This window comes from Homo sapiens, chromosome 3 (genome assembly GCF_000001405.40).
Source record: "Homo sapiens chromosome 3, GRCh38.p14 Primary Assembly".
Taxonomy (NCBI): domain Eukaryota; kingdom Metazoa; phylum Chordata; class Mammalia; order Primates; family Hominidae; genus Homo; species Homo sapiens.
In genome coordinates this window covers 149,386,671-149,413,301 of record NC_000003.12, presented here as the reverse complement: position 1 = coordinate 149,413,301, position 26,631 = coordinate 149,386,671, and the positions used below count along the sequence as shown (strand labels likewise).

The 26,631-nt window shown below is 37.8% G+C and overlaps 1 long non-coding RNA gene across 2 annotated transcripts, besides 1 other annotated feature; it reads left to right on the top strand.

The window, feature by feature from the left end:
* The first annotated feature begins 8,511 nt into the window (after positions 1 to 8,511).
* LOC105374151 (uncharacterized) lies at positions 8,512 to 19,890 on the top strand. Of its 2 annotated transcripts, none has more exons than XR_924574.3 (3): positions 8,512 to 8,684; positions 11,861 to 12,037; positions 19,701 to 19,890. It is a non-coding gene; the product is annotated as an uncharacterized LOC105374151 (long non-coding RNA). The 2 variants fall into 2 exon arrangements; XR_924573.3 differs by having other exon boundaries at positions 19,698 to 19,890.
* Positions 25,335 to 26,534: an enhancer, noted in NCBI's record as "P300/CBP strongly-dependent group 1 enhancer chr3:149104555-149105754 (GRCh37/hg19 assembly coordinates)". NCBI's record gives its function as "activates an origin of replication core promoter dependent on BRD2, BRD4, P300/CBP, MED14 and CDK7 cofactors, with strong dependence on P300/CBP, by STARR-seq in HCT116 cells {active_cell/tissue: HCT116}" and the evidence as "EXISTENCE:reporter gene assay evidence [ECO:0000049][PMID:35650434]".

Genomic DNA, 26,631 nt, shown 5'->3' with positions numbered 1-26,631 from the left:
AAAATACAGGTCCTTTCCATTTCATTTTATTCTAGTACAGAATAGAAACTTATGCAACTAAAAATGAGAGGTCTACCAAACATTTTTTATATAACTTAAAATAGCCCAGAGCACAATCATGAAGCTTTAAAACTAAATCTTATAAACCATTTAAACTGTCATTTATTGTTTTGTTCAGTTCCTCCCATGCTTTTGTATTGCTTAATTTTAATATCTTCTTGTTCATAAGCTTTGCCTTCGATAATTGCAGTTTGCCAAAATTTAAAAGCTGAAGTTTTGGGGTGCTCTACTCATTTGATACCTTGATTGAAGATTTCCAGCTGATTTTGAATGAAATGCAACCAAAATTTAAAGGACACATTTACCAAAAAATGTCAATGCCAATATAAGATACTTATGTTGTGTTACAAATTTGTTTTTCAAGGACTCAAATGTTTCTAAAATCTAATTAATGATGAACAGCAAAGAGTGGGTTCACATGTTGCTATACCCAAGTATTTTCTTTCTTCAATATCAGTATCACCATGAAAACTATGTAGTTCAGTTATTTTATCTGCGTATATGTAAAAATGTTTGTGAGTTTTGGCAATACAGCTTCTATGTCAATTGGTAGAATATCATAGCTTGTTTAACCCAATTATGAGTCATGTGCATGGCAATCAATTCCAAGTACATTTTTGCTCTACAAGTTTAATTTAGTAAGAGCATTATTTTTTCCACAATGGTGTACATCGCCAGAATTTGTAAGCATATTATGGATGCAAAAACAAATCATTTAATCCTCAATGCTGTACTCTGTAACAGAATTTACAATAGCATTCGCAATAATCTCAGATGTTTCACTTTCAACAAAAGAAAATCCTAAAAGTTTTACTTTGATTCCCTGAATTGGATGAGAGCCTTCAACTGTCATCAGAGTTAACTAGATTTTTACTTGAATCACCAGATGACATTGATACAAAATTGAGGCCATTTTGGCAAGTTCTTCTTATGCTAATTATCCGCTATCATTTTTCACTAACACTTTACAAGTGTATGTACATGAGGAAACGGGATTTTAAAAGAACAAAATTAAAATAGATAAACGATCATTTAACCTAAATGAAAAGTTATGCTTTAAAAGAGGTTGTATAAATGCACCTTCTGAAGCTGCACCTGCTCAACTGTTGTCACATTCAACATGCGTCTTCTTAAATTTACCATTAACTTTCGAAGTAGACCCTGATGATTTTTCAGCAGATTTGTATTTCCTTGTTTTCAAGTGGTCAGTGATATCACAATGGGTCCCACGGTGGATGGCAAATGTCTACATTTTGTGCAAGTTTCACTTTAATCATTTACTTTCTTGAGAAATGGCAATTCTGTACTTGATTTTGTACTAAACTCATGTTTTCATTTCCTTGAGGTCACTGCTATTGAAAGGGTTTATTGTAAAATAAAAAAGCATTGCAGAACAACAAAATAGTCATGGATTTATTTGGATTTATGCCATTCAATTCAATAAATGGCAAAACAATTGCAGCATTCAGACTACACAGTAAGTTCTATGGCAGGACTTCTTGTCTTCTGTCTTCTGTACATACTTTATATGTACCTAACCCATAATTTCCCACGTTTTCCACCAACTTAGTGACTTGCTGACTTTGTGCATTTATAGAGAGTGGCACAAGCTGATAGACTGTCTGGCAGGGCCAGCAGCATAGAATATCTCTTTTACCACTACCTGAGACCAGGAGTTATCTGTCCCTAACTGCTCATGACTGAGTACAGGCATACCTTGTTTTGTTGTGCTTTACTTTATTGAGCTGTGTGTTATGGTTTTTACAAATTGAAGGTTTGTGGCAACCCTGCATTGGTCTATTGGTGCCATTTTTCCAACAGCATGTGCTCACATCATGTCTCTGTGCCACGTTTTAGTAATTCTAACTTTTTCCTTATTATTAGTATTTCAAACTTTTTCCTTATTATTATATCTGTCATGGTGATCTATGGTCAGTGATCTTTGATGTTACTATTATAATTGTTTTGAGGTGCCACAAACCATGCCCATATAAGACATTGAACTTAATCAATAAATGCTATGTGTGTTCTGACAGCTCCACCAACAAGCCTTTCCCCATCTCTCTCCCTCTCCTTGGGCCACCCTATTTTCTGGGACACAAGAATATTGAAATTGGGCCAATTAATAACCCTACAATGGTTTCTAAGTGTTCAGGTGAAAGGAAGAGTCTCACATCGCACTTTAAAGCAAAAGCTAGAAATTATTAAGCTTAGTGACGAAGGCATATGGAAAGCCAAGACAGGCCAGAAGCTAGGCCTCTTGAGCCAAAAACTTAGCCACATTGTGAACGCAAAGGAAAAGTTCTTGAAGAAAATTACTTCCAGGGAACACATGAATGATAAGAAAGTGAAACACCCTTCTCGTTGATATGGAGAAAGTTGGAGTGGTATGGATAGAAGATCAAACCAGCCACAACATTCCCTTAAGCCGAAGCTTAATCAAGAGAAAGGCCCCAGCTCTCTTCAATTCTATGAAAGCAGAAAGACGTGATGAAGCTCCATGAGAAAAGTTTGAAGCTAGCAGAGGTTGATTCATGAGGTTTAAGGAAAGAAGTTGTATCTCCATAACATAAAAGTACAGGGTGAAGCAGCAAGTGCTGATGTAGAAGCTGCAGTCAGTTAGCCAGAAGATCTAGCTATGATCATTGATGATGGTGGCTACAATGAACAACAGATTTTCAATGTAAGTAAAACAGATCTTCTTCCATTGGAAGAAGATATCTTCTAAGGCTTTTGTAGCTAGAGAGGAAGAGAAGTCTATGCCTGGCTTTAAAGCTTCAAAGGACAGGCTGACTCCCTTGTTAGGGGCTAATGCAACTGGTGACTTTAAGATGAAGCCAATTCTCATTTGCCCTCTGAAAGTCTAGCATTTATTCTGCAGCATATGGATCAAGTAATAATTTTTTGGCTTTCAAGTCTTATTATACAAAAACACATTTCATAAACTGTCATATATAGTGATTCCCCTGATGGATCTGGGCAAAGTAAATTGAAAACCTTCTGGGAAAAATTCATTATTCTAGATGTCATCAAGAAAATTTGTGATCCATGGGAGGATGTAGAAATATCAACATTAACAGGAGTTTGGAAGAAGTTAATTCCAACCTTCGTGGATGAATTTAAGGGGTTCAAGACTTCAGGCAGGAAGTAACTGCAGAGGTGGTGGAAATAGCAAGAAAACTAGAACTAGAAGTAGAGCCTGAAGATGAGACTAAGTGGCTCAATCTCATGATCAAACTTGAACAGATGAGGATTTGCTTCTTACAGGTAGGAAGACCCTCCCCCAGCAAAAGGATTATGACTCGATGAAGGCTCAGATGACTGGTATTTTATTATTGGAGACAGGGTCTCATTATGTCATCCAGGCTGGAGTGCAGTGGCATGATCATGGCTCACTGTAGCCTTGACCTCCTGGGCCCAGAAATCCTCCCATCTCAGCCTATAGCTGAGACTACCGGAATGCATCACCATGCCTGGCAAATAATTTTTTAAATTTTTTGTAGAGACAGGGTCTCACTATGTTGCCAAGGCTGGTCTCAAACTCCTGGGCTCAAGTGATACCCCCAATTTAGCCTCCCAAGTAGCTGGTGCATGCCACCATGCCTGGCATGTAACATAACTTTTACATACACTAGGAAGCCAGAAAATTTATGTGACTTGCTTATCACAATATTCAATTTATTGTGGTGGTCTGGAACTGAACCTGCGATATCTCCAAGGAATGACTGCCAACTTCATTTTATCAGCAACAGTCCTGTATGGTTCTCCTGAAAAGAAAATATTAGCTACATTGCTGCTGGAAAGAGCTGAAAAAAGAGAAATGGGTTATTGTTAGCGTCTGTCAGATTTTACCATATGTTAAAGTGAAAAGTCAACATTATATATACATCTCACACACTATTCCATAACACCATGAAAGGAGAGAAGCTGGAAGTATAAAGTAGCTGTCTGCCCAATCCATTCTGGCTTGTTTTAATGCAACTACTAACAAGCACACTCCATTAAAAAGTGAAGTATTTGGGACAAATGGTACACACCAAGAGGATGCTGGAAACACAGGTGTGAACTGGGACTCTTCTGAGCAAACTGGGATATATGATCACCCTAGCCCCAACCCACTTTGACTGGTTGAATTTAGCTGCATGATGCTGTAAGTCTCCTGAGTTCTCATTAAAAGAACTCTTACGTCTTTATTCTTAAAATAGAACAATTCATTGACTTTGAGTTTGTTTAACTTCTTGAGTAGGACCTTTAGGAAAGCATCGTTACAAACGTGATGATGGACTTAGCATTCTGAAAAAAAACCGGGTTCCTATTCAGCCTACAAGGCCTTGTTTAACAGGGTCCTAACCATCTCTTCAGCCTCATCTTGTCCCACTCCTCCATCACCACACTCTGCCATGCTTGTCTTCTTTCAGTTCTTCAGATATGCCAGGTCTGATCTATCGTCAGAGGCCTGGGAGGCTGTTCCCTCTACTTGGAATGTCCCTCCTCCCACGCTCCCAAGCTTAGATCTCTCTCTTCATGGAGATACATCTCAGGTTAAACTTCATCTCCTTTAAGAGTTCCTCCCTGGCTGCCTACCTAAAGAACATCTCGCTTCATTTTTCTCAACTCAGCCCATGTTTATTTTCTTCATAGCACTTATTGATAGTCATTGCAATTATTTTATTAATTTGTTGGCTTATTTATTTTATGGACAGCCCCTAACATGAGAATGTAAGATTCATGACAGAAGGGCTTTTTCTGCTCTTTTCTTGGGAAGGGTGTCTGGCAACAAGCACCAAATAAATATTTATTGCATGAATGAATAGCATATATTAACATTATGTTTAAGGTATAAGACATATATCAAAAGATTTTCAAACAGTTGGGTCAAATTTAATATACATAACAATGTTGATTGTAACATCAAGTTTTCTAAAAATAAGTATTATTTTCATAATGATTTTAATCACGTATTTAGCCAGTTAGCTCCAAAGGTCACTACTCTGCTATGGAAGCACTTCTCAGAGCCTTCAAGTCTTCAAACCACAGGGCAGGGTCTGAGCTGCTCAAGTCCCACTTTCTGAGACGGTGCAGTAGACAGCAGCATCCCTCCAAGCCCCTAGGGTACAGACATTGTGGGAAACTGAGAATTTAAGCCTGTAAAATTCCTTTCAGCTTTGTACCTTTAGAAGCCTGACCTTGTATGGAATCGTGGTTTTTGAACAGATGGTTGAAATGACTTTGTTAAATGCAAGAGTCTGTTGTTTTCAGAAGCTATCAAACCACTGATAACTTTATTTACATTATTTGATAAACATGCTCCATTTTCTCTCTGCATTTCTGCTCTGCAAATGTTCTGGTTCCTGGGCAAGTTTGCTCAAACCCTGTGATACTTTCTATAAAATAAAATGAGCACCTCCTTGTATCTTGACATTTAAAAGATAATTCCACAGTTTCCAATTAGTGTCATAATCATGAGTGAATGATTTGTGAAATATTTTTAATGTACTGGGTTTTTTTCAGTTTCCCAGTATTAACGAAAGGCTTCTTTATAAATAAAACACTCTACATATGATTTTGGCTAAGTGGGGGGTGCCTCAGTTGTGAGAAAGTAGAGAGAGCTGTGCTGACTTTACATGAATGAGGTGACACTATCAGGGAAAAAACTAGTACCTCAAGTCACACACAAAAACCAGTCTCATAACTATAGTCTTTATGTTTTCATCTCTCAACAATAACTCTGCATGCCTAAACATCTAACCTTAAAGGATTAGTTGAATAGATTACAGTATGTTATGCTCTGGAGTACAATACAGCATTAAACATCATGTGGAAGACTAATGATGTGAAAACCTGTGCTATATTAAATGAACAAAGCAGGAGATGTAAACATATAGACAACATAATATCATGTTTTATTTTCTTTAAAAAAAGTTTATTTGTGTAGAGAAAAAAGGACTGGAAGGTTATGTAATACCAAGCATTGTGCGACTGGAATATATTTGACTATTATTATCAGACTGCAAGGTAATACCAATATACCAAAATATTAACTCAAAATATTAATGATGAATTTCCCTGAATGGTGGATATAGGAGTGGTCCTTTCTCCTTTTCTTTGTGTCTCCCTCCCTTCTTCCCTTTCTTCCTTCTTTCCTGTCTCTTTTCTTCCTTTTTAAACCTCTGTTCTTTAAACCTAAAGTGGGCATCGATTTATTCCTTTTATGATTATAAGACTTTTTAATTTTTTTCATTGAGGTGAAATTAACGTAACATAAAATTAACCATTTAAAGTGAACAATTTACTGGCATTTAGTACATTCACAGTATTTTGCAACCACCACCTGTAAGTCTAAAACATTTTCATCATCCCCAAATGAAACTTTATATCTATTAAGCAGTTATTCCTCATTCTCCCCTAACCGCTGTCCCTAGGAACCACAAATCTGCTTTTGATCTCCGTGGATACCTCTTCTGGATATTTTTTATAAATGGAATCATAAGATATGTGAATTTTGTGTCTGATGTCTTCTACTTAGCATATTTTTGAGGTTCATCCACATTGTACTGTGTGTCAGTACTCCATTTCTTTTTATGGCCGAATAATATTCCCTCATATAGATCATGACTTGTTTATTCATACATCCATTGATGGACATTTGGGTTGTTTCCCATATAGAACTTTCCTTCCTTCCTTCCTTCCTCCCTCCCTCCCTCTCTCTCTCCTCTCTCTTTCCTTCTTTCTTTCTTTCCTTCTTTCTTCCTTCCTTCTTTTCTCTTTCTTTTTTCTTTCTTTCTTCCTTTCTTTCCTTCTTTCTTTCTTCCTTTCTTCCTTCTTTTCTCTTTCTTTCTTTCTTTTTTCTTTCTTTCTTCCTTCCTTCCTTTCTCTTTCTTTTTTCTTTCTTTCTTTCTTTTTTTCTTTCTTTCTTTCTCTCTCTCTCTTTCTTTCTTCCTTTCCTTTTTTTTTCTTCAAATAGAGACGGGTCTTACTATGTTGCCCAGGTTGGTCTCAAACTCCTAGCTTCAAGCAAGTCTGCCTCAGCCTTCCGAGTGACTGGGATTACGGGATGCAAGCCACTCAGCCCAGCTTCACATTTAAAACTTTTAGAAGTTATTCTATAACACTGAGTTTGTCAGGTAATGAACCTGAAGATTAATGAAGAAAAGGGAGTGGGCTAGGGAAAAATCAGTATTAGCAAACTTTGTCAATTTTCTTAATTTAAAAGTATACATAAGCACGGAAAATTTGATGTACGGGAGGTGATATGAGCAAATTTAAGTATGCCTCTTACTCATGTTTCCCTGTCCTCCAATTTTCTTCCTCAGAGGCAACCTCTCTAACACATTTTTGTGTTTAAATATATTTTTTGCATGAACAAATATACATGTGTATTTGTATATATGCATATATATTTTCTGACTTTTTTCCTTCTTTCAAAGAATTATTAGTGATATTCTAAGCTCCAGTAACACACAGGGAAAGGTGGCTTGCTAATAGTTTTTTTGTGTAATTTTTTGAGACTGGGGCTTGCTCTGTTGCCCAGGCTGGAGTGCAGTGGCACGATCACAGCTCACTGCAGCCTCTATCTTACGGGCTACAGTCAGCCTCCCACCTTGGCCTCCCGAGAAGCTGGGACTACAGGCATGTACCACAACACCCAGCTAATTTTTTTATTATCTTTTTTCGTAGAGACAAGTTTACACTATGTTGCCCAGGCTCGGCTAATGCTCCTTTGAAGAGCTCCTTCCTTTCCTTTATCTGAGCTCCCACTCCTCTTTGAGTGTTCCCTTAACCTTCCAAATAAACTACTTGCACTCAAGTCCTAGTTTCAGGTCTCTTCTGGGAACCCAAGCTGAGACACAAACTTTATTTTATTAAATTTTTATAGTGCTCTGGGAGGTAGGTGTTTTAAAAAACTCCATCCTGCAGGTGAGGAAACAGAGTCAGCCAAGTAACCGAGTCAAGTTAGAGAATGGCAGCTAAGATTCTAACTCAGGTGGATGGGTGCTTTTCTTTTCTTCCTTTTTCTTTTCTTTTTTCTTTTTTGTTTATATCCCTTGCTTTGCTCTGGGGAATAACCAGCGTCTAACTTCAGAGAGTATAAACCTGCAGTAGCGCTAGCTGGAAAGCAAGGCCTGGTGCTGGCTGTTGGGGGAGCAACACACAAAGGTGTCATTCTTTGTAATGTCAGGCTCCTACTTTTACACGGTTTTCTGTTTTGTCTTTTCATCATAGCCTTCACAATTGTCATATCAAAGTCGTTTCCTAAAAACATTAAGCCTTATAAGATGCACCACATTTGTTTGTAAAATGTACAACTTTTGGAAACTCCATTCAGGGGGTAGACACCAGACCTCCCCCTGGCTCCTGTGCGCATGTTTAATCTCTCTTCAAATGCCCACACCATTTCCTGCAAAAATTGATTGGCTATGGTTCATCACCTCCTCTGGGTGATCTGCTATCTTCCTTCTCTTATGACTCAGGTTATTGACAGCTGGGAAAAGGCACACACCTCTGACTGATGGTGACCCAAAAAGAAATCATAGAGAAGCAAATTTGGCTCCACTGGTTTGATTTTTCCTTCCTTCCTCCTTACACATCCAAGGAGGTTTTGCTCTGGAAATCTCTTGCTATGGGTAAGTGAATGGGTTTGTGGGGTAGGTTCTCATGGAGACGCCTCACCAGGGCCTCTCCCGCTATTTCCTCAGAACCCCACCTAACAGCCACATTACCCTTAGCATTAACTCTTTCAGACACAGACAATAGATATTATAAAAGTATTTTATTAATTCTCTTCACTGTGGTAAGTTTTATGACTTTTATAATCTTTCTAAGAACAATCACAACATTGGATGCCTCTGAATATGGAGATAACAAGACTTGTTTCACAGCATTTCCTCACAATCAAAGTACACTGGAATCAATACTCTTGGGAAAAGTTCCCGAAACACTGGGAAATTAAAAAATTTCCTAAGTGCTAAATGATTCAAATAGTTCAGGATGATAAATTAATTTGGGGATAATTATTTACTATTATTAAATTATTTTAAATAATCTAAACATACATTGTATTTCCACTTAGGTCTTTGTTATCCAATATTATTTCACTATGTCTCAAAATACTATATTTATATATATGCTGGCAATCCTATATATGCATATATGTATTTGTGTGTGTACATACATATACATACATATATACATATATATAAAATCATTTCTCAGCATTTTGGCTGAAATCAAGTGTAGTATATGTTACCAGTTTTATAAATATACATCTATAATCTTAGAGGAACTCCTGTACCTGTGACAGATCAAAGAATTACAGACATGACTGTATGCTACCCTACATAGAAATTGCCAGTTTTGTAGGTAGCCCAAGAGAGTAATATTAGCTCAGATGTAGGAAATGGTGTTTTGTGTACTATACTAGAGATAGATCTTCAACATGTTCTTAAATTTTAACTTTCATGGAAAAATCAAAGGAAAAAGACAAAATTATTATTACATTGAAAAAAATCAAAGGGAGAACAGCCATCAGGTAAGCCATTCAGTCTCCAGAGGACTTGCACTTGTCAGTGGAGCCTCAGCGTGAGTCCACTTAGGAACAAAGTATTTCTCAACAGTTTGTTTGCATCTTCAAAATATCCAGTAGTTATTTTCATGTTACCCAGGAGAAAGACTCTGATGGAAGTGGCTTACGCTGACTAAATTCACAAGAGCCTTATTGAAAAATCAAACCTCCAATTAACTAATTTGGAATGGAAAAAAAAAAAGAGTGCTATTAAAGAGTCTGAAATATCCATATTGTCAGGTCAGAAGTTTCTCTCACTTGTGGAAAAGTCTGCCTAGGAAGTCAATTTACTTTTGAAAAGTTCCTTGTTAAAAACCGAGTGAGCCTAAAGGGAGCTGGATCAGAATAATGGGAGAAATGGCATTATAAAGCATTAACTGAAGTTGAAATGATTTAGGTAACATGTCTATGTCTTTTTCAGAGGCTCAGACTATATATTTTCGGTGGAATTTTAAAATTTTGTTTTTAAATTCATTCTGGTAATAATGCTCAAGTCCCCATAGAAAAACTCACCTCTAACCAAACACTGCATGTTCTCACTCATAAGTGGGAGTTGAACAATGAGAACACATGGACACAGAGAGAAGAACATCACACACTAGGGCGTGTTGGGCGGTGGGGGGTGGAGGGTGGGGGGTGAAGGGAGGGAACTTACAGGACGGATCAATAGGTGCAGCAAACCACCATGGCACACGTATACCTAGGTAACAAACCTGCACATTCTACACATGTATCCCTTTTGTTTTGTTTTAGGAAAAAAAGAAAAACGCACCTCTAAATTGTATTCTAAAGGCATTTGTAACTCATGCATTTGCTAGAGTCGGGTGTTTTGCTCTGAATTTTGGTGTGGCTTAATTCTAATTTCTTTTATAGCAAAGTCCTATCAGTACAATTAAGAAAGGTTTCCTTGATAATATTTTTCTATAGGCTTTCACTTTTTTCTTATCTACTTCCCCTGCCAGTGACCTTTGCCTTTATGTCATCTTGATCATTATGCCACAGACTGAAAACTTTGGAAAGTGCGGAGATATTGCACTCTAATGTAATTGTAATGCGTTAGTTCCATTTTGCCAACACATAGTACTTCAACACTTCACTGGCAAACAAGCTGGTGATGAAAAGGCAGGCTTTCTGCCTTGTGAATACTTCACCAATTTTCTTGATTAGAAGAATTTAAAGAGGGTTACTAAACAAACTGAACTTCCTACATTTTCTATGGACAGAACTTGAGAGTTTAATGTCAGTTGAATTTATTAGCACTATTATATTTATCAAGAATTAGGTAGCATGTTCTTTCTTTCTATCTTCGTATGTTTAGCATCTATTACAATGTCTGGTAGAGAGTAAGTGTCTGGAGACAATTCTCCTTGGATTTCTCACATTTCTACATGTCTCATGAGTAAAGGGATTGACTGACTTTGTTCTGGACTATTTTTCAAGGGTGTTTGTGTAGCAAACCACCTTGGAAGAGTGAAAAAGTGTCTCAAGAGTAATGAGTAGGCATGCTTCCTGTTCGGTGTAAAAGGCCTGATTTCCCTAAGCTCAGAGTTCCTCTCAAATGCTGAAACTGGCTACTGCTACTGCTGTAACAAAGTCACTTGTCTCTGACCCAAGAATCTCATGACTTCTACCAGTTCCTTTGAAACTGGCAAGCTAACAAATAGCTTCAAAATAGGATAAAATAAGCTAAAATCTCAGATCCTTCAAATTCTTAAGAGTAAGTGCTCGAAAAAGGGGGGAGGTTGTTGAATTAATTAATTTAAAAAATATAGGTGGCTTAACATTCTGTTGAATAGTCCACAGTTATCCAAAGAAGGAGCGCAAGAACTTCTATTGGCAAGGAGCTATTTCACAATATATTTTCATTAAAGTACCAGTGTGTGTTAGTCAGCCTATGTTTATTTTAGATATCGTTGTTGACTTTAAAATGTTGGCAGCAGTATGTTTGGACTCAGCTAAACATTGAGTTGCATGATGAGAACTGATTATTTATTTAAGCATTACCTAGTCAGGTAGGAACTGCAGACTTTGGATAGTTTCTACTTGCTTCTACATCAGTGTCCCTAATGGATGAGGCTATAGTTTTGGTATACAGAGCTGAAATTTTATTCTTTCTTTCTAAAAATAACAGCTGATTCTCTTTAGAGTGACATTTTCATTTGGAACACAAAAACATTGACTTTGGTGTTTATTTTTCCATGTACTTTAGAGGTGCATTTGTTTTTCTCTCCATTTTAGAATGCCTAACAAACCTGAACCAGGAAACCCTTTACCAACAGGAAGTGACCCAGTCTTTCTGCATGGCAGGTGGCCACGCTGCCACCTGCTCCCTTCCTGTTAGTCATGACTCCAAGGGTCTTGACAGAGGGTAGTGACAGGCAACTGGAGATCTGGAAAGAAAATCTCTCTTCAAAGGTAAACAAGTGATTTCAAGTCAATCACCTTTCATAATTATCTTAGAAACTGTATGATATATTAGGAGAGAAAAGGTACTAGGATTGGAAACATAGGTTTACTTCCAGTCTTGCTACTTTTTCTGGATTCTGGGCAAGTCATCTGAACTCTCTTAGTTTTTCCAGTTGTAAAATAATAATAATAACGATGAAGTAATAAAACACCTTCTCTACCTATATCAAACATTGTTTTGAGCATCAAACAAAATAGCTCAATTCTGGTCAGTAAATGTAACAACCATATAGCCTTTTCTCAACATTTTGGTTATACATTTAGAAGGGCTTTGAAGACCACAGAAGTTTATATAAATAGAAGTATTGTTAGTATTATTAGTAAGGAGTATACCCAGCACATTGCTTTTAACTTCTTGCATCACTCTTTTGCACTGAACAAAATGTCATTCTAAGGATTAAGCAAATATGCCCTTGAGTGCTATGTATACATGATTGAATTTTTATTTTTTACTTTTCTTTTTATTTTTAGTTGACATGTAATAATTGTATATATTATGGGATACAGTCATATTTCAATACCCATGTATACAATGGATAATGATCATATGAGAGTAATCAGCACATCCATCATCTCAAATATGTATCATTTCTTTGTATTGTGAACATTCAAAATCCTCTCTTTTAGCTTTTTAAAAATATGCAATAAATTATCTTTAACCATATTCCCCTTGCAGTGCTGTAGAGCACCAGAATTCCTTCCTTCTATCTAGCTGTAATTTTGTATCTGTTAACCAACCTCTCCCCAACCTCCCCAGCCCCCTACCGTTCCCAGCCTGTAATAGTCAAAATTCTACTCTCTACTTCTATTAGCACAGAATTTTTTTAGCCCCCACACATGAGTAAGAACATGCAGTACTTATCTTTCTGTGCCTGGGTTATTTTGCTTAACATAATGTCTTCCTGGCTCATCCATATTGCCATGAATGACAGAATTTTATTCTTTTTTATGGCCAAGTAGTATTCCATTGTGTATCTCACATTTTCTTTCTATTCTTCTGTTGATGGACATTTTGGTTGATTCCATACATTGGCTATTGGGAATAGTACTGCTATAAACATGGGAATGCAGATATCCCTTTGATATACTGACTTCTTTCCTTTGGATAACTACCTAATAGAATTAGGTAGATCCAGTAGAATTGCTGGATCATATGGTAGTTCTATTTTTAGTTTTTTGAGAAACCTCCACACTATTTTCCACAATGGGTTTACTAATTCACACTCCCACCAACAGTGTATAAGGGTTCCCCCTTTTCTGCATCCTTGTCAGCATTTGTTATTTTTTGTTGTTTTCACAATAGCCGTTCTAACAGGGGTGAGGTGATATTTCATTGTGGTTTTGATTTGCATCTCTCTGATGATTAATGATGTTGAGAATTTTTTCATATATATATTTGTGGTCATTTGTCTGTCTTTGGAGATATTAATATGTCTATTTGGATCATTTGCCCATGTAATTCCAATTGGTTGGCACCTGCAAAGCCATTTCTAAGATCCTCTCATGACTGTGGGTGGATGGAAGGATGAACACTTGGGTGGCTAAAGCAAACGTGGACTTTTGTTGTTCTTGTGAGGGCTGGTGGGGCAGAATGCTTTTATACAGCCATGAAGTAGCAGGGAAAAAAGCTCTGAGATCCTCCAGTGTGTAGGGAATATTCTCTGCTTTTCTCATGCTCTGTACCAATCAAACCTGGGCTCTTGTTCCTTAATGTACTGTCATTAGCTTTGCCTTTCTCTTATCCCATAGTCCTGTACTATAGTGAGAAAAAGACATAGAAAAGACTGCACAGCTCTTCGTAGCTTACAAATCATTTTCATAATTGTCATCATGTTTAAACATCACTATGACACTGCTACGTAGGCATAATTGCACCTGTTTTATGGTGAATAAACTGACAATCAAGGTTAAGGGACATACCAAGGTCACGCAGGAGATGAAGCTGGGGCTTAAGAGGCCTCTGTCAAGCTCATGGTTGTTTCATTCTTCTGGGCTGCCTCTGGGTTAAAACTTTTTAAAAAGTAAATTCTGAAATAGTTAGAATGGATTATGGTAGGAGAGAGTGCAGAATGAGTTTGCAGTGAAGCATCTTAGAGGGACAACACAATAGTAAACCTCCTCTTCCTTCTCATATCTTATAATCAAGGATTAAGAAGCTCCTTGCCTTCTTGTTAAGAAATTGATCGCATTAGGGTCATCTCTATATTAATGGCAGAAATTGAGTCAATATGTTGATCTTGGGCCCCTGAAAACAAGGGTTCTTTGGGTCCAGGGATAGAATTCAGGCAGTCCATGGGCCTGGATGAAGAAAAAAATTCCTGTTTTTGATTTCTTGAACTTCTAGCATTTCTCTCAGTTATGAATTTAGACTCCAAACCATGGCAATTATTAGCTCTTCCTATAAGTATGTCACCAATATAAATACAATATATTTTCCTATCACATAATTTTAAATATAGTAATGCACTGCATAAAAATTCCAGTTAACTACAGACTGCTTATGCAACAGTGGTCCCATAAGATTATATATGTTTACTGTACATTTTCTATGTCTGGATACACAAATGCCTTCTGTTGTGTGACAATTTCTTACAGTATTCAGTACAGTAACTTGCTGCAGCCTAGGAACAATAGTCTAAACTATACATCCAGTTGTGTAGTAGGCTATATCATCATAGGTTTGTGTAAGTACACTTTGTGGATATTTGCACAGTGACAAAATTGCCTAATGACACATTTCTCAGGATGTACCCTGATGTACTCAGGATGGTGCTTCACCATCAAGCAATGCACAACTGTACCTTGAAACTATCCTTTGCACTCATCACAACTTCAAAATACGGTAGCTGGATCTTATTATTTAATATGTTAAGAAACACACATATGTTATTTTATAATGAAGTTTTAAGAGTCATTTTGATAATTGTATTTCCATATAATTATTTTTCTATTTCAATTGTCTATTTCAAATAGAATCTTATGTATTCTATTTTATGCCTTTAAAAACATTACTCTGAGAGGGGTACAGGTGTCACTCTGCTACCACATGGGTCCACAGTGCAAATAAAAGTTTTAAAAACTTGCTCTAAAAAGACATTCACTGAAAATCTTAAATTATTCCCTAGGAACAAAATTTTCAAAACTTTTTTTTTTTTAAGGAAGAGAGATGTTAGGGCAACAATTCCTTAATTTCATCATCTCTTCCATTTATTTACTTGATTGAATGAATTCTTGACAGATAGCACATGTGCAATAAACATTCATAGAAATGATGTCCCTTTTTATTCTTGGCAAAATTAGCGTTGTGCTGAAAACAAAATGAGTTTGGTTCATGGGACATTTCCTGAAAGGAATGACAGTTTAAGACAGAATAAAGTGGAAAGGGAAGGAATATCTATGTGGAGGAATTAGCCAACGATAAGATCTTACCTTGAAGAAGACCTTCTGCATTGAGTCTGAAAACAACATTTGTGTTTATGTGAAAATCCATGCCCTGACCTAACTCTCTGTGTCCTGTCAGCCTAGGTAATCAAATTATGCATGAAATAATTTCATAATTTTATTTTCAACTGACAAGCACTACATTATACATTCAATCTGTTCACATGAGATAATATATTTCTTGCAGTAACATCTGTTAATATATGCTTGTTCTCAAAAAACGATTATATTACAAATCTTAATCTAGGTACAGAAATGAAAGGGTCCAGGCATTTGATTAATATATATTGATTAATCCTATATAGCAGGAGAAGCTCAGGAATTGTCTGATAAAACTCTCCCAACAGTCTAGTTGAGTCTTTCATTTTGCTGCTAGAAATCATTTTGCTTGGTTTGCTGCTGCTTCTTACATGGATCCACACTGGGCAGACTCTTGAGAGGTGGAAAAATAAGTTAGATGACTATTAAGGGCAGTTTGCAGAGCATGTTTAGAAACCGCACAAGAATGGGGAGAAAGAGTGTTTGGTTGCTCCCCCTGGAGCTTATATTTTTACAATGCTAAACTCTGAGGTTCAGGAAGCAGACCATATTTTTCATGTCCCCATGAATTTTCCTGACTAATCTATCTCCCTAGAATGCTCTTCTTGTCCCTATTTACTCTCTGCAACTTAAGATCTGCTAATACTAAGTCATCAGTTTCTTGTAAAATTTTCACCTGACCCCTACTCTTGTTCCAGATTGGGTTACCTACTCCTCTGTACTGCTAAAATCCCCTGTCCTCCTTCCATGGGCAGGCACTGCTCTCATGTCCTCCCACCATACCCTTCTACCCTCGACTCAACATCAAACTCTAGACCGTGACCATTTTGAGACCGAAATTATGCCCTTGAGTTACAGGCAAATATTAGGTTCTTTAGATTTTCTGCAGAATTAATTGAATGAAAAATGAACGAGGCCAACAAGTAAAAGGAGACAAATGAGACAGGCAACATGAAGACTGAAGGGTATGTAAAGAAGGGTAGGGAGGTTAGCCAGCCCCAGCCGATCTTACTTCTAAGATGTTGACAGAAGTGTGTGCGTGCATGTGTGTTTGCATGGGAGCAGTAGTAGCCCAGGGAAGGTGAACTTTAAACTTGACTGCATAGAAATACTTCCAATATAGCAGGTACGAATGTCACTGTGCCACTTTCTGGTGTGTAAATGTGACAGAAAAATTAGTTCTGTACTTTCACTCATGTGACGGTAGAAAATTCAATCTCAGTAATATTTGGCGGCTTTGGTGTTCATCCAAAAATCTCCTAGTGTTTGGAGTGACAGAAGCTTGCAGGTTCCTTGTCAGAGTCTTCGGTGGCTCACCAGTGTTTGAAAGCATTGGACAGGCCATATGTTCCAGCCAGACCAGAGATGCACCTCAGGGTGGTCCACTCCTTGACCACACACAGGTTCACAGAGACCTTCAGGATCTCAATGTCTCCTGTGAGCTTGGCGTTAAGTGTTGAGCTTCTAAAGCACATCCCAAAATAATTCCTGGCTAGCACACGTGTATGAAGAAGCCAAGGCCCTTCCAGAAACCTGCCTGATTCCTGTGCACACTCCCCACTCCTAGCCTGAGGAAAATCAAATGTTTCCTTAAATTGGGTAGCTTCTGTGTCTTCAACTCCGAAGACTTAACCTCCATGCCCCTCCTTTGTGAACGCAATCTGGGAAAACTTTTGTACTAGGTGTCATGGATGAGAAAAGAAGCTGGAAATACCAGTTATTCCTTTCTTAATAACTGACCTTGTTATTCAGCTCTTCAGAAGCCACAGGAAATTTTATCCCTCTCCTCTCTAAATCCCACCCCCACCACATCCACTGGCTGCCCTGTTCTGTTCTGCAGCATGGAGATACCCAAAGCCCAGTCTTGGCAGTTGTCCCAGTTTTCTTCATCCTGTTCATGACTCCAAAGAAAACACATCTCTCACTCAACAACAAACTGGCAGTTTCTGTTGAGAACTCAGATATTTTCCCAGAGTCCGCCGTAAAAATAATAAGGTTATATTTTAATTTTAAATTATTTGTTCATGCAGATTCTTTTGGAAAGACCTTGCTATAGTTTTGTTGATCATACAAAGAACCTTTTAAACAAAATATTTTCCAAAAATATAGCAGGCTTCCTTCTGCTGACACAAATCTCAAGAAGAGTCAGCATTTGTTATAAGGCTCTAAACAAATATTTATAAACCCTGCTTAAATTTGTTTTGAAACTTGCATAATTTTGGCAATCATTACTCATGCTAGTATCATCACTCAGGGCTTGGCATTAACGTTTTCTTCAAAATATTTTACTTTTATAGTATAAATTTACCCTATATTGCCAAAGATGTATTGGACAAGGGTGGTCATCACTGTACTGTGCTGAAACTTGGCTTCATTTTTGAAAGAGTGGAAAATTTATCAGAGGAGTTTTGGGAAGATGAAATATTTCAGTGATCTAATCCCATAATATTTATGACCTCTTACAACTAGTAGTGATTAGGCCCCACTTGTGACCAACAAACTAAAAATTTACCCTCATTCTATGAATAGGATTTTATTTTAAAATAATTATATTATGAAAACATAAAAAATATTTGAAACAAAAAACTTGTGAATATTCACATACTTCATTGCCCATTAAGAACAGTTCCACCAATGCCTAGTTGACTTGTAACAATTTGTGTGCAGCAAAAATAGAGAGACAGGGCTGGAGTGCGCTTGTTCTGCATTAGACTAGGCTAATGAGAAAATGCTAAAGGTGTTGGAAAAGGCAAGAGCCAAAGAAGCCTTAGAGAGAAAGTTATGATTGGGGGTTCAGAATAGGAGATTGAGGGCATAGAAGCTACAAGGCTTGCTGCAGAGCAGGCTGAGGCTCCACAGAGGAGGAGAGACAGGACTCGACCAGGTGTTGCCTTGGGGCTATGTATGAATCTCCTGTACAGACTCCAGTAAGGAGTTCTTAAGTGTTCCCTTTTTTAAATTTAATTTTTGAATAGATTATACTTTTGCAAGGTTCAAAATTTTTAAAGGTCCTGTAGGTTTTATCAGGAAAAAGTCTCCATAACACTCCAGCCCCAAACCACCCAGTTCTCATCCCCAGAAGCCACCAATATTATCAGTTTACTGTGTGTCCTCCAGAGCTATTTTATGCACATACAAGCAAACAGACATTTGTATATATTCACTCTCTCTTTCATTTTTTTTAAACAAGTAGCAGCTTGCTACATAAATTATTTTGTATCCTGCTTTACTCTCTGTAAAATATCTTGGATATTGTTTCATTTTATTAGGCAGATTCTTCATTCCTTTTTTTTTTCAGCTGCAGAGTATTCACTATAGCAAGGTACAAATGGTTTTTGGTCAGTTTCCACTTTTGGTTGCTTTGATCATTTGCTATTATATACACGATGCTGTAAATTTTTAATTTATTTTGTGTCATGAACCCCTTTGGCAGTCTGGTGAAGCCTATTAATTTCTTCTTAATAAAATATTTTCAAGTGCATGCAAAATTCTCAGGATTAAAAGGAAACCAATTATGCTGATATATAGGTATCAAAATATTCTTTATATAAACATTTATTTAGAAATATATGTACTTATTTATTAAAACTTAATAAGATCTAGCAGTGGATCAAATTCTTGTAATTTCAAAATATGAGTGAGCATAAATGCTGTTTCAAAATATCTGCAACAATTGTAATGTGATGTAAAATATCTGTGATTTTATTGGTAACAAAGGCATAGGCTGATACTATCATGGTTTCCTGCTTGCTTTCATAATTAAAGGAAATGACAAATTTTACTTAGAGTTAAGAAACCCTGCCTTATACATACATCATTTCCCAAACACTCAAGTGTATGTGTAGGGTATATTTTTAGAAGTGTTTTAAATTAGCAACTGCAAATAAATTTATAATTGAATACATATTGCCAAACTGCTGAAAATGCAGTCGTTCTACCAACACTGAATAAGGGTATGTTAACAAGCATTTTAATCCTTGCCAATCCGAGAGATGAAAAATAATATTTTGGTGGTTTTATTTTGCACTCTCTTGTCAAAAGCAAATTTGAACATCTTTTCATATATTTATGAACCATCTTCTTTTCTGTGTGTTCATACCCCTTGCTCATTGTACTATTGGTTTGTTAGCAGGTTTGCTGTGTTGCAAACGCCAGGGGACATCAGTCACAGAGACCTGAATGTACACAGCACCCCCTGGAGTTGGCAATGCGGAGGCTCTGGCTGTTGATCCCAAAGAAGATTTAAATTGCAGTCCATTATATTTTTCTCTCAGACTTCTGTTTCTTTGAATATTCCAAATAGATTAAAATATAATCTGGAATCTTAAGTGCCTTAGTCTTATTTAGGTAACAATACTATCTAAGAAAAACTCTAGAAGAATTCACAACAAATTGCTAACTATAGTTATCTCTGGCAGAGGAAGTAGCATGGGAAAGGCGTGGGAAAATTTTTTACTTTGACTTTTTTTTCACCTGTGTACTTATGTATAATTTGTGTGGAATAAATAAAATAATAAATATACATGATAAAATTTCAAATAAAAGTTAAAAAAATTACGGGGCACTCCTCCTTGAGCCTATATGATGGTTTTGAAATACTATTCAAAAAGAACCAGGACTTCTTAGAGAAATGACTGAGTGCAGGTCTCGGGCAGGAAATGTACAAGATGAGCCTGGCACCTCTTATTAATACCACATAGCAAGAAAGGTACGAAGATGACTAGGGCCATGGCAAAAGGACTCATGAACTAACTTGAAGAGGCTTCTACTGACCAAAGACAGAGCAACTTAAGCATCAATAAAGATAATAACTGCAATGGCTATGATGAAATACATTATGAATGCATAAAGTTCATACTAATGTTAAACAAAATGAAAATTAATTGGTCATACTGGGTAGATGATGGGGAACTAACAAATTATTTTAAAAATTGGTAAATCCAGGCAAAGAATCTAGCATTTATTGTAACTTTTTTTTTTTTTTTTGAGACAGAGTTTTGCTCTTGTTGCCTAGGCTGGAGTGCAATGGTGCGATCTCGGCTCACTGCAACCTCCTCCTCCCGGGTTAAAGCAATTCTCCTGCCTCAGCCTCCCAAGTAGCTGGGATTACAGGCATGCACCACCACTCCCGGCTAATTTTGTATTTTTAGTAGACACAAGGTTTCTCCATGTTGGTCAGGCTGGTCTCAAACTCCCGACCTCAGGTGATCTGCCCACCTTGGCCTCCCAAAGTGCTGGGATTACAGGGCACCCGGCCCTATTCTAACTTTTTAATGCAAACTGAGTCTCCAGGTCATCAAATAATAGACAAGGAGAAGTTTCCTTTCATAAAAAGTAATCCAGCTAATAAATTAAAACAGAATGAGAAAATTCATAATTCCTAATGAATGATTATACCCAGGCATTGGCCACCCACAGCTGTGAGCTTTACCAAAAGGAAAACAACTTGGCCTTAGGTGCATCCTAATGAAAAAGCGCAATCCCACATAAAAAGTGGTTTTGCCAAATACAGGAAAAAAAAAAAAGAACCAAAAAACTTTGAATCTGATGAAGTGTCCAGGTCCAACGGCCAATTGGCGTGTTAAGCAATAGAAGAGGTTTCCAGTCTGTGGACTGCGGGAAACTCTACAGCTTTCTTCAACAAAGCAACTGAAAGGGAGAGAAAAAGAGGTAGGTGGAGGGGAAACTTCAGAGACTATCAACCAATCATGATACGCAGACCTTATTTGGATTTTGATTCAGATATACAAACTGTATAAACAAAGCAACTTTTATAATATTTACGAAACAACTGGAAATTTCAACACTGAAAGGATATTTGATGATATTAAAGAACTTGTTTTACTAATTTGTAATATTTTACATAATGCTATGAGGATTATGTTTTTTCAAAGTGTTCATTCTCTTCTAAAGATACTAAAAAACAGATGAAATAATACTATATCTGGAATATGCTTCAAATAATGTGGGAATAGTTGAGGTATCAAAGCAGATAGATTGGTCACGGATAATTGTTGGAGCCAGGTGAGGGAAATCGATGGGGCTTTATATTATTCTAATTTTGTATATGTTAAATTTTTTTTAAGTAAACAAAATCATTAAACATCAATTTGTCCTGAAAAGGGACATTGTATCACAAGAGGGTCTGAGAAATACCCTTTTGTTTTGTTGGTTTTTTTTTTTTTTTTTTTTTGCCAAATTTGGCAGTAGGGAGTTGAACTAACTCATTTCTTTTAGGCCCTATACATGTGTTGGGATTTTTTTTAATCGGAATTTAAAAATTCATGTTCCTTATGGATCAGAAATGTTCCTGTCTGCATTCCATAGGAAGCAGCAGCAATGTCGTCGGGCAGCCTGGGGTTCGGGAGGTGAGTTGATGGGTTTGGAGAAGGCATGTGCTGACTACGGGCTTCCCTGGGAAACAGATTGTGGGTGGAGATGAGCTTGCAGGTTGTCTCTCAGGGAGTGCCCTCAGGATCATCCCTATGAGGGGAGAGGAGTGAGAGAAGCAGGGCTGGGCAGCAGATGAACTCTGATGCAGTTCAACGGAGGCCTCGGCCAACCCCACAGACAGCTGTGGAGCTAGGATGGCCCTACCGAGTTTGTCACTTGAGGCAAGGAAGCCAGGTATAGTCCGCCTCCTCAGTGGTTAGAGATGGCTTCTCCTCAGGGAGGGGCCATGGCTTGGGTGACGCAGCTTCCTTAGGCAGAGGGCAGTCCCTGAGAGAGTCTGGGCTGTGGATGGCTAACACTCATAGCACGCTGTCAGCAGGAGGAGGAACAAGGGCCTCAGGCCAGAAAGAGAGCTGGACTGTGTCTCATCAGGGTCTACCAATGACAACATTGTTGTCACACCAAATTTACTGCACACCAATCCAAGGATTATTGCTTCTAGGTGAATGACACATAAGAATTAGTCATAAAGGGAAGCCTTGACATCAAATTCCTGACAACACACAAAACCTATATAATGTGATAAAAGGTTATGTATCATTCATGCTCTTTATACCTATGTGACACTGGTAGGTGAGTATCTTATATGTTAGTGCTCCCCAAGTCCCTAAAGTTCCCACAGAGGCAAAAGAGCTATTTGAATGATTTCCAATACTATTCTAAAAATAAAATCTAACAATATAAATTTTTTTTATTTTTTATTTTTTCACTCTGTCACCCAGGCTTAAGTGGTGCAATCACAACTCACTGCAGCCCTGACTTCCTGGGCTTAAGCAATCCTCCCACCTAAGCCTCCTGAGTAGCTGGGACTACAGGTGTATGCCACAATGCCTGACTAATTTTTTGATATTTTTGTAGACCTGATGTCTCACTGTGTTGCCCAGGCTATTCTCGAACTCCTGGGCTGAAGAGATCCTCCTGCCTCGGCCTCCCAAAGTCTTGGGATTACAGGTATGAATAAACATGGCTGGACTATTCTTTTTATGTTGAAATAACTTCAAACTTACTACCAAGTTGCACGAATAGTACGAATACCTCCCATATACCCTTTACTACATTCACAAATTAACATCTTGTCATATTCACTTTATAATTTTCTACATAACCACCATACTATAATAATGAAAATGAGGAAATTAAACATTTATAAAATGCTGTTATCTAACCCACAGTCCATATTTAAATTTTACCAATTTTAAATTTTACCAATTGTCAGAGTAATGTCCTTAATAGCAATAGTTTTCCCTCCGGTCCAGTATCCAATTCAAAATAGTATCTTGCATTGTGTGGTTATATGTCCTCAGTCTCCTTCAACCTAGCATGTTTCCTCAGTCTTTCCTTACTTTTGTTATCTTGATGCAAGTGAAGATTGCAGGCATCTTTGGCAAGAATAAAATAGAAACAACTATATTGGTTTTCTGTATTGCGGTCAATCAATTTTCACATAGCAGCTAAAAGCAACACATAATTATTATCTCACAGTTCCTGTGGATCAAGACTGGGCAGTTTAGCTGGGTATTCTATGAGGCTATAATCAAGATTTTTAAGAAATCAAAACATTATAATATACAGAAAATAAAAAATATAAATAATACATCCAGAAAGTAAGGAAGTGGCCAAAGAATAATGTCCTGTGAAAAGGACACAGGAGCCAGCTTTAAAGGGCTTTCACAGGCCAAATCTGGGACAATTTGAGCACTAGTAATGGATTATAATTCATTGAACAAAATAGGACTTCATGAGTTCATAGAGATATTAACTAAAAGTTTGATGAAAAAGCAATATTGACATTGTCTGAATGCATCTCCCCACAAAATACTATTTACAAAGGGGGAAAAGAGTAAGTGCACTGGAGAAGCCTGGTGGACACCACCTTCATCAAGTGATTCAAGTAAACATCGCTTGTAGTAGACTAAGGGGTATGGTAAACCACCTCATAGGATGCAATGAGAACACAGCATCACCATGGCCAACTTTATCATGTCCCCGCCAAATCCCTGACTCCTAGTATTCACATCCTCATATAATCCCCTCCTCTTGAGTGTGGGTGGGACCTGTGACTTGCTTCTAATCAATAAGATAAGGCAAAGGTGATGGGATGTCACTCCTGTGATTGTGTTACATTATGTAAGGATCTGTCTTGCTGGTAGACTCACTCTAGAGTCTTGCTCTCCTGCTGACTTCGAAAAATCATGAGTCCTACAAATACTAGGAAATAAATTCTGCCAACAACCTGAGTAAGCTTCAAAGTGAATCCTTTCCCAGTAGAGCTGGGGACAGAGACCAACACCCCTCTCAGCCAGGAGCATGTCTCTAATATGTAAACTAACCAGACCAGATCCTTATCTCTTCTATTTGGCTATACACACAAGAGGTAACCCTTCTCTGCTTTAGTCATTCCAAGGCCAGGTACCAGGCAACTAGGGGACACCTCTATGGCTTAGAGCCTATGGAAAGTATTCAAACCTAAACAGTTCATCTTGCCCTGCTTTTCACATGACCATGGGCCTGGATCTCCTCTCACTCCTGCCCCTCTGCCTCCTGGCCACCCCAGAGCTTTCCCCCAAGGCCCTTTGTGGTGTCCTGTGCCTCTTGTCTTTAGGATCTGTGAGTACAGTAAACTGTGTTTTCCTGAGCCTCCTTATATGTCCTCTTGTGACCTCACCTGAATGATCATCTCATGAAAGAACACAGAACACCAGCACAAAATATTCCATAATCATCTCATATTGTTGTTTCAGCCCTGATATCAGCCACCACTTCTCCGAAGTCCAAAGTGCCTTCATTCCTTTCATTGGAGAACCATATTTAGAAACCAATATCTAGGCACTACGTGTATTTTACCTATAATGGTATTAACACTCGTGGTAATACTTGTTCTCTTCAGACCAGTTCCTCCAGGTTGGAGGCAACACCGTACAGTGATTAAGAGGCTCTGGATCTAGACTGCCTGAATTAAAATTCTGGCCACGCTGGACAATCTGTGAAGCCTTGGGAAAGGCACTTAAGCTCTTACAGTTTTATACCCTGTGTGATAGTGTTTACGATAGCACCTACCTCAGAAGGTTGCTGTGGAACGTAGTAAGATATGAGTGTGACGCTCTTAGACTCATGCCTGACATTCAGGGATTACTCAGTAAATATTTGTTGGGTGAATGATCCTTATGTTGATCAGAAGCTCTAACTGAAGAATGAAAATGAGGGGGAAATCTTGCTCCACGTCCTTTTCAGACAATAATTAACGTATTGATTTGTCAGAGATCTCATCCTCCTGTGAGACTATCTTCCTTTAAGACTTTAAGAATTCCCTGTAATAATCTTTTTAGTTGTCTTTAATGTATTGACAACCTAGAAGAAATCCCTGTAAAATGTCACATATGTGATCTAGAAGGAAAAAAAATGCTTTCCACTTACACTTGTTTATGTTCTTCCTTCTTCTTCATTAAAAAAATAGAAAAGAACTCACACAAGCCTGGTGCCAAACCTGGATGTGTCTCTGTGTCCAGGACTCTGATTCCTAAAAACATCGAGTCATTATAGAAGACATCAGGACCACTGAGAAGACAGTCAGGAAATCAGAGGGGGAGAAGGTCAAGAAGGACGAGGCCCTGCAATCCTTTTTATTCCCCTGGTGTCCTCAGGATGGTGAATAAGAACTCTAGGAACCTGCACCTGCAAAAGAAGATCCAGGGCAATGTAGAGATTCCACATCCTGAGCTTTCTTTGATGTCTTCTTGCCAGCTATCCCCAATTCCTGATTTAGTTCCTCTTAGGGACAGCTATTCTGAAGGGTCTCATCAGAGAAGCTTATTTGGTTTCTATTGGACAAGGAATACATGCATTATAAACATTCCAGATAATGTTTATGTTTCAAATTGGTTTTTCAGTTCCTTTGCAATTCTTGCTCAAGTTTTCCTCACCTTCTAAGTCTGAAAAAGTAATTTCCAAATCATGGTGAAGGCATTATTGAAAAATCAGGACCTTGTAGAATCTTACAGTCATTTGGCCAGGCTAACGGTTTAACCTGAAAGTGGAATGGATTTCCCATCCGGGTTCCCATAGTGAACAACTATGTTTTTGTAACATAACACAATGAAGGGAGTTGTCACTAGATGACTCAGCTAGTTAGAATCTCAACTCCCTTTCTGGGGAGGAAATCTGAAGCACGGTGTTTGTATTAGAGGCTAGGGTCATGCTTATTTGGACTTCAGTTCTCCCGCATCAAAGCCAGTCAGAGACTATGAACAGGTAGGGGGAAGGAAGGTCAACTGTCCACCTGGGCCAGAAGAGCAAGAAGTGTAGCCAAACCAAATCTGACATTTTTTTGGGTGTCTGTCTTTCTAACACATATGCTCACTCGTTCTGTCTCTCTCTCTCTCTCTCTCTCACACACACACACACACACACACGTTTCAACTCTCCACTGCTGTAAAGCTGTTCTTGGTAAAATTCCCTAGGGCAAAATCAACTGTAACTTGAGTTTTCAACTCACTTAGTATCAGTGGGAAATTTGCCATGTTGGACTTTGACAACCACAAAAACCAGTTTGACTGAGAGTGGCGAGGCCATGAGGTCTAGGTGGAGTATGAACTCACCAACTTGGAATGATT